This window comes from Homo sapiens, chromosome 11 (assembly GCF_000001405.40).
Source record: "Homo sapiens chromosome 11, GRCh38.p14 Primary Assembly".
NCBI classification, from domain to species: domain Eukaryota; kingdom Metazoa; phylum Chordata; class Mammalia; order Primates; family Hominidae; genus Homo; species Homo sapiens.
Window position 1 is genome coordinate 78,321,199 of NC_000011.10, and position 12,684 is coordinate 78,333,882.

Sequence of the window (12,684 nt, forward strand, 5' to 3'; positions counted from 1 at the left end):
CCAAGGACTTATTAACCTTAGCACAGTACTAAGAGCTGTGAGAGAGGAAAGAAGGGGAACAGATGTTTCCGACATCACTCCTTCCAGGATGCTCTCCCACAATCTTCTATCCATCCCTGGCTGATGGAAATGACCCGTATGTATGGTCTGCTCTACCTCCTGCTTACCTCTATTACCGATGGAACTTATCACTTTATGTTATACTTTTTGGCTGAATTACCTCTTTACTATAGATTTTAAGTTCCTTGCAAGCAGGAAAAATTGCTCATGTCTTTTTACTCCTAGCCCACAGCAGCGTGGAGTGCAGTATGTGTTCAGTAAGCGGAGAAATGGTTCCTGTAATTAAGAGATGCAGCACAGTTCACACTGCATTTCCTCTAGTATCTCTCATTTTATAAACATTGTACTAGAGGAGGGAGAAGATTATATGTAAGATTTAACAAAAGTTCAGTTTTGGGAAACTTTTGAAAAGTACTCTACTTGCATTTAAAAATTGACATGTTCTTCAGAGATGGAGGCACCACATTAGTCAACTTTCAAACTATACTAAAAGGCTATTGTAACCAACACAGCATGGTATTGTTACAAAAACAGACATGTAGACCAATGGAACAGAATAGAGAACCCAGAAATAGGGCCACACACCTACAACAAACTGATATTTGACAAAGTTAAAAAAAAAAAAACAATGGGGATAAGACTCTTCAATAAATAGTGCTGGGAAAACTGGCTAAACATATGCAGAAGAATCAAACTGGACTCCTACCTATCATGATACATAATTATTAACTCAAGATAGATTAAAGACTTAAATGCAAGATCTCAGCTGGGCACAGTGGCCCACATCTGTAATCCCAGCACTCTGGGAGGCCGAGGTGGGCGGGTCACCTGAGGTCAAGAGTTTGAGACCAGCCTGGCCAACATGGCGAAACCCTGTCTCTAATAAAAATATAAAAATTAGCCGGGCGTGGTGGTACGTGCCTGTAATCCCAGCTACTCAGGAGGCCGAGGCAGGAGAATCACTTGAACCCAGGAGGCGGAGGTTGCAGTGAGCCGAGCTACTGCACTGAAGCCTGGCTGACAGAGGGAGACTCTGTCTCAAAAAAAAAAAAAAAAAAAAAAAAAAAAAAGTAAGATCTCAAACTATAAAAATCCTAGAATAAAATCTAGAAAATACCCTTCTAGACATCAGCCTTGGCAAGGAATTTATGACTAAGTCCTCTAAAGCAATTACAACAAAAACAAAAATTGACAAGTGGGACCTAATTAAACTGAAGAGCTTGTACACAGCAAAAGAAACTATCGAGAGAGTAAAGAGACAACCTACAGAATGAGAGAAAATATTTGTAAACTATGCATCTGACAAAGGACTAATACTGAGAATCTTTATCTAAGAACTTAAATAATTCAATAAAAAACACAAATAATACCATTATAAAGTGGGCAAAGGACATGAACAGACACTTCTCAAAAGATGACACACAATGGGCCAACAAACATTTTTAAATGTACAAACATCACTAATCATCAGAGAAATGCAACTCAAAACCACAATGAGAGACCATCTCACACCACTCAGAATGGCTATTACTGAAAAGTAAAAAAAAAAAAAAAACAACAACAGATGCTGGAGAGGCTGTGGAGCAAAGGAAATCCTTATACACTGTTGGTGGGAATGTAAATTACTTCGGCCACTGTAGAAAGCAGTTTGGAGATTTTGCAAAGACTAAAAATAGAACTACCATTCAACTCAGCAATCCCATTACTGAGTATATGTACAAAGGAAAATAAATTATTCTACCAGAAAGACATATGCACTCATATGTTTATTGCAGCACTATTTACAACAGCAAAGACAGGGAATCAACCTAGGTGCCCATCAATGGTGGATTGGATTTAAAATGTATAGTACATATACACCATGGAATACTACACAGCTGTAAAAAGTATGGAATCACATACTTTGCAGCAGCATGTATGCAGCTGGAGGTCATTATTCTAAGTGAATTAATGTAGAAACAGAAAACCAGTCTTGATGAGGTGGCTCAGGTCTGTAATCCCTGCACTTTGGGAGACTGAGACGGGACGATCACCTGAGGTCAGGAGTTCGAGACCAGCCTGGCCAACATGGTGAAATCCCATCTCTACTAAAATACAAAAAGTTACCTGGGCATGGTGACGTGTGCCTGTAATCCCAGCTACTTGAGAGGCTGGGGCAGGAGAATCACTTGAACCCAGGAGGCAGAGGTTGTAGTCAGCCGAGATCATGCCACTGCACTCCAGCCTGGGCAACAGAGCAAGGCTCCGTCTCCCCAATTCAAAAAAAAAGGAAACGAAACCAAACACCACACTTATAATGTTCTCACTTATATGTGGGAGCTAAATATTGGGTATACACAGACATAAAGACGGAAATAGTAGACACTGAGGACTCCAAAAAGGTCGGGGGAGGGAGGAGGGGGGTAAGGTTGAGAAACTACCTGTTGGGCACTATGTTCACTATTTGGGTGACAGGATCAATAGAAGCCCACACCTCAGCATCTTGTAATATATCCATGGAACAAACCTACACGTGTACCCCCTGAATCTTTCTTTTTTTTTTTTTTTTTTTTTTTTTGAGACAAAGCCTGGCTCTGTTGCCCAGGCTGGAGGGCACTGGCACCATCTCAGCTCACTGCAACCTCCGCCTCCCGGGTTCAAGCAATTTTCCTCCCTCAGCCTCCCGAGTAGCTGAGACTACAGGTGCCTGCCACCATGCCTGGCTAATTTTTGTATTTTTAGTAGAGACGGGGTTTTGCCATGTGGGCCAGGCTGGTCTCAAACTACTGACCTCAGGTGATCTGCCCACCTTGGCCTCCCAAAGTGCTGGGATAACAGTCATGATCCACCATGCCTGACTCCCTCTGAATTTTTTTTTTTTAAAGAGGCATGTTCTTAAAATGTGAAATTCTTTCTACTTGCCGTGAGGTCACTGGCCATAAGTACACAGGAGGAGACAGAATTCTACAAGTATATCATATTCTGGCTGATCTTTAGCAGCCTCCTCTTGTGCTCATGTAACACAAGCTCCCTTCGGTATCATCCTTAAGTTTGATCCCAAGAGTGGGGACTTATTAGCACTTATTTACTTATGATGCTGTGATGGTGTATAATTCAGGAGACTTACACAGGGCTGGTCTCTACTCACAAATGTGCCTGGATAGATGATAAATAAAACATTAAGAACAGGTAAGATTAAATATTTAACATTCCACTCAGACAGAAGATTAAGTAAATTAGAGCAGAGGAAAATGGAATGCCAAGGGAGTATAATGGAAAAAGAAAGGTGCTAGAGGGAAAGCAATGGCTAGCCTTTCATGAGTCTGGGAAAGATAAAGATATAATCTACCACACTGTTAAGGGAAGGGGAATATCAATCCATATGCTAGATGCCATGCTAAGTGCTTTATACATAGTGTCTCATTATTCACTATAATCTTCTGAAGTAGGAATCCTTATTCCCATTTTCCAGATAGTGTAGCTGAGGTTCAGGGAAGTAAAACATCAAGGTCTGATGACAACCAAGTATTTCCGAAGTCCAAAAGACCATACAAGGTAAGAATTATGCCTCTGGATAAAACTCCCAAAGGAAGATGGTCATTTTCATATTCACTTATGGTTATGGCCAGCTAATCTAAAGTCATTAATTTTACAGTGATGGGCCAGAGACAGCTTCTATCAGCTCATAAAAGCTGACTGTTAAACTTTCGGGAACTTTGCAACCCAATTTACTTCGCAATGGTAGTCTGAAATCAGTCATGGTGTGAATATTTACACCATGGGAATTGGCAAACGATGCAAACCAGGGCATCTTATTTTTTTGCTGAGAACTTGTCATTAAATATGTACCTGCACACTGCTACTTGAGAACCTTAGAGATGGAAGTAAGTAACTTTTATCTTGTTTGTCAAGTCCCATCCAAGTTCTATCTACTGATTTTAGTTGCCTGGAAGGCTGTGTTGAGAAGGATTCTGAGACTTTGTTTGTAGTTATCCACCACAAAGAACCTGCCAAAACTAAGAAGTAATGTCTATTATAGGTGGGGAGGGGAAGCAACAGTGACCATGCCATGTGCTTAACCATCAGGCCAATGCTCTAACTTCAGTCATGAAAAAACAGAGGCCCAGAGAGGCAAAGTGATTTGCCTGAAGCCACAGAATTAATTAGTGGCAGAGCTGAGACTAGGAACCAAGTAATTTGAGTCCTAGTCCACTGATCATTCCAGACAGCACAGAAACCACGTTGCTGAGGCTCTATTAATAATATTGAACAACACCGGAATGACAAAGATCCCTAAGCAAGAATGTTGTAGAGGACATACGAACATACAGAGAGGTGGACTAGAATGAACTCTGGTTCTTTCAGCCCTGGGGGTTTATGATGCTAGATTTCTAAGAACTCTATCTGTGTTCTGATGTGCCTTCTTCCTGACCACAGCAACTACTACCCACGTAAAGTGTGGGCTTTCAAAGATCTTACATGACTTAGCAACATCCTGACAACCACTACATTGTCAGTAGTTAAATCACAAGATATATAGATAATACTTCACAGGTAATTTCTCTAGAAAATATGCCAGTAGTATTGCCACAAATAAAAAAGAAAATTCACCAGAGTCTATTCCTATGAACCTTCAGCAGTAAGCTACCCCCAAACCATTTTTGTTCATTTCTTTTTAAACATTGTATTTTTTAACAATATGGCTCAAGAATTGAGGTATAAAATAGCAAACTGTAAGTCTTCCCTACCCTAACTCCAGCCATCCTATTCTGTTTTGTAGAGACAATCATTCTTATCTTGTGTTTCATTTCACAGATATTTTATGGATATGAGAGTGAATATATACAATGTCTTCCCCCTTTTAATACATATAGTAAAGCATCATAGTATATTAAATGCACTTTGCTTTATTCCACTTATATCTTGGAGCTTATTCTATATCCATATCTAAATAACTTCATTAGTTTTTATGAAAGATGCTTCCAACCTTGTGTGATAGAAAAAGTGTCATACCCTTATTTTTACATAAGTGTCTCATTTAAAATATCACAACTTGATGTCAGAGGAGGGCTATAAAACACAAACACCACTGAAATGCAAACATTACTTAAGGTCACACTGAGAAACTTTTAAGAGGACTTCATTTCTGCATTTATTTGGATTTCTTTATAAAAGGAAATGACATACAGTGGTTGCAGGTTAATAGGATAACAGTAAACCCTACTGAATCAAGTTTGGACAATTTTTTTTTCTAAATGAAGAGTAAATAACTGAAACTTTGGTCATGAAAGCACTCTGAAGGGCCTTCCTGTAGGAATAAGAAATTGTTACTTCAAATTATTTCTGTCCTATCTTTTTCCAAAAAAAGAGTCACGTTGCTTCCATGAATTTGTGTGTGGTGTCTGCATTCTGCTATGAGCTTCATGAGGTCAAGGATAACAGTTTGTTCATCTTTGTGTTCTCAGTACAGAATAGGACCTTAGTAACTTCTGTTGAATACATGAAATTCTATTGTGGAGAATTTTTCAGTCATCTCAGAACTAACTCAGTTTGCTACTCTCAAATATATACAAAGCAGACACAGTTCTGACCCGGTAAAATTTCCCCATAAGCTATGCTTTGGGAAAAAAAGTCTTAAAACCTTGTTGAGGATTTACTGGAGGTAAGAAGAAGGCCTAGAAGTAGGAAAGCCAGAAAGTGGTGGTGGAGTGATGGGATGAAGGCTAAGAAGAAATTGGATGGAGATTTATTTGAGCAAAGATCCCATTTATGCTCTTTAACCACAGCAGGTAAGCCACCATTCTTTGTCTATACTCAAGATCATTCCTATTTAGCGCAAATGCATCATGTCTATTATTCAATACAATTCTACAAATACGTACTGAGCATCTGTGGTGGGTATACAGTGGGAACTCAATAAATCGGTATCTGGGTCAATTTTAATCCTCATGTCATATTATCATCACTTCTGTACATGTCTGATTCACTAATAGCCTATAAGAATGATAAACAATCATGTTTTAATTATCTTTGCATTTTAATATGAAATGGGGTCTGCTGGGCATTCAAAGTCTAATCAATGAACAGAACAGGGAACCAAGCACCTCAAGCTGGGAATGGTTGTGGGAGGAGGAAAGTAATCAAGAGATGTTTCATATGAAAATAACAATATCTGCAATGAGCCTTAAAGGATGAACAATATTCCCAGAAACAGATTTTGGGGCCAAGATATGAAGCATGGAACAAAGGAAATAATATTCTGAACATAATGGAGAAGGCATCATTAAAGTGCACAGAGGTAGCAATATTCATGAAGTGTTTGGGAAACAACATACCATTGAATGTTTCTAGAGCCTACAGGGAGCCAGGAAAACATGAGAATGAAAAGGTAGGTTGAGTCCCAACCACAGTGGGACTTAAATGATGTACTAAATGGTTTGAACTTTGCCTTGAAAAACAATGGTGAGCCCCCCAAATTTTGAAAATAATAATACATTTAAAAAAATCAGGATTTAAGGGCAAGACAGCTGGGTTTATATCCTAAATTCTTAATAACTAGCAGTGTCACTTTGGATAAATCATTAAATTTCTTTGAATTTTAGTTTTTCCTCTAGAAGATGGATATAATACCTTACTAGATTGAATTGAAGAAGTGGATGTTAAAGACCTCTATAAACTGGCAAGTACAGCATAAATATTGTCATTATAATAATAAGCTGTGCTTTGGCAAAACATCTTACAAACTTGTTGGGAATTTGTTGTGGGTGACAGGAAGGCCTAGAAGTGGAAAAGTGGGAAAGTCGTGGTGGGCTGATCATTTGCTTGTGCAGATGAGGACAAAGCCCTATTACCCTCACCTGCAGACACAAGGACCTGACCTTGGACCCTTCCCTGAGCAAGATTCCGAGAAACGGATATACACACCAAACACTAGGCACTCTCGGGTCCACATTGTTTGATAAAATAAATCCTGGGTCAATAATCTCAATGGGATGACAAAAACAATTTCCTGTTGCAGGGCATTTACTGGTAGCATTGCATTTGCAGTCTTCCCAATCAGCAGTCCATTAAGCAGCCATCAAAAACACTAAGCCGCGGAAGGCTTTTTAAAAAAGACATTATGTGTAAGACATTAATAATAAGGAAAGCTGGGTGTGGGGTATATGGGAACTCTGTACCATCTTCTCAGTTCTTCTGTAATAAAACTGACAAAAAGTCTATTAAAAATGACATTACAGACTTATAGTAGATTTACTCATAATAGCCAAAAGCTGGAAACGGCACAGGCATCCATCCGAAGGAGAATGCATAAACAAAGTGGTATATTCATGCAATGGAATATTACTTAGCAATAAAAAGGAATGGTCTATAAATACATTCAACAACATGGATGGATCTCAAAAAGTATTATACCAAATGAAAGAAGCCTTACACAAAAGAGTACATACTGTATGATTCTGTTTCTATGAGATTCTAAAACAGGCAAAACTAATCTATGGTAGAAAAAAAATCAGAATGATTGTTTCTTCTGGAGGGTGGGGGTGGGGTGAGAATTGTTTGGAAAGGGGAATGGGGAAACTTTCTGGAACGATGGTAATGTTTTATATAGTCTGATAGGAGCTTTAGTTACATTTTTGTCACATCTCAAAGAACACTTCAGATTGACATTTCACTCCATGTACATTTTACCTCAAAGAAAAATACTCAACAGATGTGGAACTCTAGGGAATGATATGCATGCTAAAGTATTTAGGGAGAAATATGCTAATGTCTGCAATTTACTTTAAATGCTATAAAAAATAAGATGCACAATGGGTGGTCAAAGGAATGGATAGACAAATAGATAAGTGATACAGCAAGCATAGTAAAATATTAATGACAGAATCTAGATGGTTGATAAATAGGTGTTAATTGTAAAATTCTTTCAATCTTGCTTTATGTTTGAAATTTTTCATTTAAAAATGTTAGCAAAAATGAAGAACATTTTTGGGGTTTTGTGTCTGGGTTGCGTGGCTAGGAGAAAGAGAGTAGAGAGTTTATAAGGCCAGTCTTGTAGGCTCTTTATATTAATTAAAAATCCCTTACACTTAACTTTTTACAAGAGTACAGATGGCCCTTTCATATTTATCCTCATTTTATCCCCCAATACGATTTATGTATCTCTCATCTGTGTTCCTTTTAGCATTTATAATATCACTTTGTAACTGTTTTCATCTCTGTATCCCCCTACTAGACCATCATGAACTCCTTGAAGGCAGGGCCTTGTCTTTCTTTTTTGATGTGTTTTTGATGTGTTCATAGTAACTGACACATATAGTAGGCACTCACTCAAGCATTTGTTGAGAATACCCTAGGTACTCAACAAGTACAAGGCGAGCTGGCTGCTAGGGCAACCAGACCATTTTAGAGGCCACAGGGAAATGTGAAGATTTCCCACAGAAAAGCATGATTTTATGGAAGCAGTTTTGTACTTGGAAGGTGTTATAACTAGAAACACAGAGATCTGTTTGGATTTTCTCAGCTAGCATGTATCTCGCCATATTGCTACCTGAAATACTTTCTAGATGAAGTTGGTTGGTATGTACGATAGGTTGGCCCACTCAACATCAATTCCATTCCCCTTCTAGTTAGAAAATCTGGAAAACTAAAAGTCACCTTTACCAAATTTGTTTGCAGGCAGTCTGCCAATTACTTGCATTCATATAAGACTGGTAAGGTGGAAATGAGGCTAAGACCATTTTCCATTTCTCTTTTGGCTATTTCTCGTTTCTACTGGCAAAAAAGGATATAGACGTTTGATTGTTTTATGCGGCTGAGGTATTATCCAGCCTCCTGAGTGCCATGGGGCAGGTTCATTAGTAGCTTCTCAAGTCTGACCTCCCATACCCGAGACCACAGCTATGGGGTGTGGGTGGGGGTTAAATGGATCACCAGTGGTGTCCTAGGAGGTCACCTATGGAGTTCTTAAACTAGAACATGCAGCTCTAGTTCTTCCTATCATTTGGTAAGCATCTAATTCCTTGTATTAAATTCCTTCCTGTTTAAAGTATCTGGAGTGGTTTCCATTTCTCACAGTGATCCCTGGGTATAAAAATAAAGAAGTTTGAGTGACAAACAGCAGGTCTCTGGGGACAGGAAAGAAGGGAAATACAAGGCTTTGCGTTTTGGAGTTTTTCACAAGTATCCATTCAAGAAAATGTTGAACCTTACTTTGGGCCAAGCACTGAGCTAGGGGCTGGAATCAAGAAATAGTGGTTTGCTTTGAGATAGGAGAGTCATGTCAACATGTGAAAGAAGGGCCCGTAGTGATAGATGACAGAGAAGGAAGTGATGGTCAGAATGAGAATCCAGGTGAAGGGGTAGATTTATCTGGAGAAAAGGCTTACTCTTAGACCTCTAAAACCAAATAGTGACTATATACTTAGCATCTTATGCATAGCGTATTCATTTATATTGTCTCATTGTACATTTCCTCTTCCCACCCCCTCCTTTTTTGGTTAACATTTGGGTGCTTCCCATATGTTATTTTCTTAATGGAAATATTTTTCTTCCCATAACGTATTTTCTTAATGGAACTGTGGAACACCCTATGAAGTAGAAAGGTATTAGTTCTAGAATTTGCCTGAGATCTCACAGTTATTAATAGTAGAACCAGGCTAGGTGCAATGGCTCATGGCTGTAACCCCAGCACTTTGGGAGGCTGAGGTGGGCAGATCATTTGAGGTCAGGAGTTCGAGACCAGACTGGCCAACATGGTAAAACCCTGTCTCTTCTAAAAAATACAAAAATTACCAGGGCATGGTGGTGGGCACCTGTAATCCCAGCTACTCGGGAGGCTGAGGCGGGACAATTGCATGAACCCGGGAGGTGGAGGTTGCAGTCAGCCGAAATCGCGCCACTGCACTCCAGCCTGGGTGACAGAGACAGACACCGTCTCAAAAAATAAATAAAAATAAAATAAATAAATAGCAGGACCAGCACTCCAACTCTTTTGATCCAAATTCTCCATTCTTTTTTTTTTTTTTTTGAGATGGAGTCTCGCTCTGTTGCCAGGCTGGAGTGCAGTGGCACAATCTCGGCTCACTGCAATCTCTGCCTCCCAGGTTCAAGCGATTCCCCTGCCTCAGCCTCCCCAGTAGCTGGGACTACAGTTATGCACCACCACACCCAGCTAATTTTTTGTATTTTTAGTAGAGACGGGGTTTTACCATGTTGGCCAGGAGGGTCTCGATCTTCTGACCTCCTGATCTGCCTGCCTTGGCCTCCCAAAGTGCTGGGATTACAGGCGTGAGCCACTGCGCCCAGCCCCGAATCCTCCATTCTTAAGGGATAACAAATCCAGAATTTCAGTTCTCCAAAAGATATAATGTGTTTAAACACATTGTGCAAACATGAGGAGTTGCTATCCTTACCACAGAAAACCTCTTTCTCTAAGCTTGAAGTCCTCAGGATAAGAGGAATAGTGCCCACGCTGCTCTGGGCCTAGAAAGGGATTACAGAGGTCCCAGGCTGGCTCAGATCAGACCAAACTCACAATAGACCAAGGGGATTGGAAAACAGAGACACAGATGGAAAACCAGTGGCTGCCACCACAGCCTGGTCACTAAGGCAGCTCTTTATCTCCTATGCCATTGTTTATAGCCCAGAGGACACCATCCGGACCTCGTAAATGAAAGTGTCCATTGGGAAGGGGAAAAAAAACACACATGCCCCCTCCACACACAAAAGGGCATTTGTGTTGGGCAACCCAAGAGGCAGACACACACCAAGGGCTTGCCCCTCCTCCCTTTGCCTCTAGGAAAAGACAAGAAAGGCAGCTTTCTGGTACTCTACAAAGTGGGGAGCCTGTGGCGGGGAACAGAACAAACCCCCTCCAAAACTGCTGACTTGATTCATCCCCAAACTGACACAAGGCGGGAGGAAGACTTCAGGAAATGGGCAGATTATGTCCAAGAAAAGATTTCCTGCAAGCAGTTAATGGGAAACTTACATGAAAAGCAGGACTAAAAATACACAGGCTATTGGAAACCAGTGGTGAGGCCCCTGGTTTTTAAAGAAGTGACTGAGGAAGCCACCAGGCTTGGGACTTTCCCTGCCCACCAACCTAGGGAGATCAACTTAACACTGGCTTTATTTGCCTGGGGGAGAAGCTTATAGGGTACCTGGTATGATTTAAATTTCCTTTCAATATTGATCAAGTCCTCACTGTGTCTGAGCTTTCTATTCATATAAGCTATGATAGCACAAAAAGAAGGTAAAAGCCCCAGTGTCCTACACACATATCCTGACTCAAATGATGAGAGAAACGGATCAGTAGTACAAATGACATCCTATGTTTAAGTGAATTTTGGTTATCAAAAAATAAACCTCACAACTTAAGTAAGAGTCTAATGGGATGCAGCAAGAGGTAGCAATGGCATGCAGGAAATTTATCTGCACTTGAAGGCATATGTGAGTAATGACAAATCATAGCTCTGGCTTGAACAGTAGGGAAACTAAAAAGTAACATTTAGGAGACCAAAAAGTAACTATTAAGAAGTGTTGTTTATTGACTTTGAGAAAGAACCTTTCTAGGTGCTTAGAGGAAGAAGCAGGCACATGGAGTTCCCTCATGCCCTAGAGTCTGAGCAGAAATTTGAAGATATAGTTTTTGTTTTTTTAAGAACCTTCCCCTTTGCCTTGTCTTATACCTGCAGAGCCTAATTTTGCCAAATATTTATTGAGCCCCAACACTGGTGTATCCCCTATAGCAGATCAAGAATCTCTTATAATTTAATGGGAAAGATGGTCCTTCAAATGACAGAAGGAGGAGGATAATGCTGGGCTTTGTTTCAGAGCCTGCCTGGGACATGTGGTACCATCAGTATACTCTTGATCCAGTGCTTTACAGTCTTCACCCGGAAATACTGGGCTCCAATTACAAAGGAAAATCTTATCACTAACCATCTTCCAATAATACACATACTGATAAGTCCTTCTTCTAGGATTATAATGAATAATTTGAGTCCAAAGATCTTTTGGTGACTTTTTTTATTTTTTATTTTTAGAGAAAAAGTCTCGCTCTGTCACTCAGGCTGGAGGGCAGTGGTGCGATCATGGCTCACTCCAGCCTCGAATCCTGAGCTGAAGCAATCTTCCTGCCTTAGCATCCCGAGAGCTAGGACTACAGGAATGCACCACCATGCCCAGCTAATTTTTAAACAATTTTTATAGAGGTGGGGGGTCTCACTATGTTACCCAGGCTAGTCTCAAACTCCCGGCCTCAAGAGATCTTTCCATCTTGGCCTCCCAAAGCGCTGGGATTACAGGTGTTAGCCACCACCCCCTGCCCAGTGGCATATTTTTATACACAGTGGGAGCCAGATGTGAAGACAGACTGAAAAACAAAATGTAGGTGGTCCTGTGTGATTAGTCTAGGGAGACTGGGCAGGGAGAACAGTAAGTTTTTCACCATGGGTGATCTAAAACTTTTTGTTGTAAAATCCCATAGATACTTACTGCTGCTCTTATCTTCACTGATTTCTTGGCAGCATTTGAGACACCTGAAGGCTCCTCTCCTAAATCCTTTAGATTACCTGACACCACAATTTCCTGCATTTCTATCCTCATTTTCAGTCATCATAAGGATCCTTTTAAGGTCTATGA

At 40.2% G+C, this 12,684-nt stretch overlaps 1 protein-coding gene across 3 annotated transcripts in view, besides 1 other annotated feature; it reads right to left on the reverse strand.

The window, feature by feature from the left end:
• The window catches only part of GAB2 (GRB2 associated binding protein 2), a 202,528-nt gene that overhangs the window by 105,906 nt on the left and 83,938 nt on the right, over nucleotides 1–12,684 (reverse strand). The window lies entirely within an intron of this gene.
• Nucleotides 11,325–11,374: an enhancer, noted in NCBI's record as "active region_5319". NCBI's record gives its function as "activates an Ori minimal core promoter by ATAC-STARR-seq in GM12878 lymphoblastoid cells {active_cell/tissue: GM12878}" and the evidence as "EXISTENCE:reporter gene assay evidence [ECO:0000049][PMID:35858748]".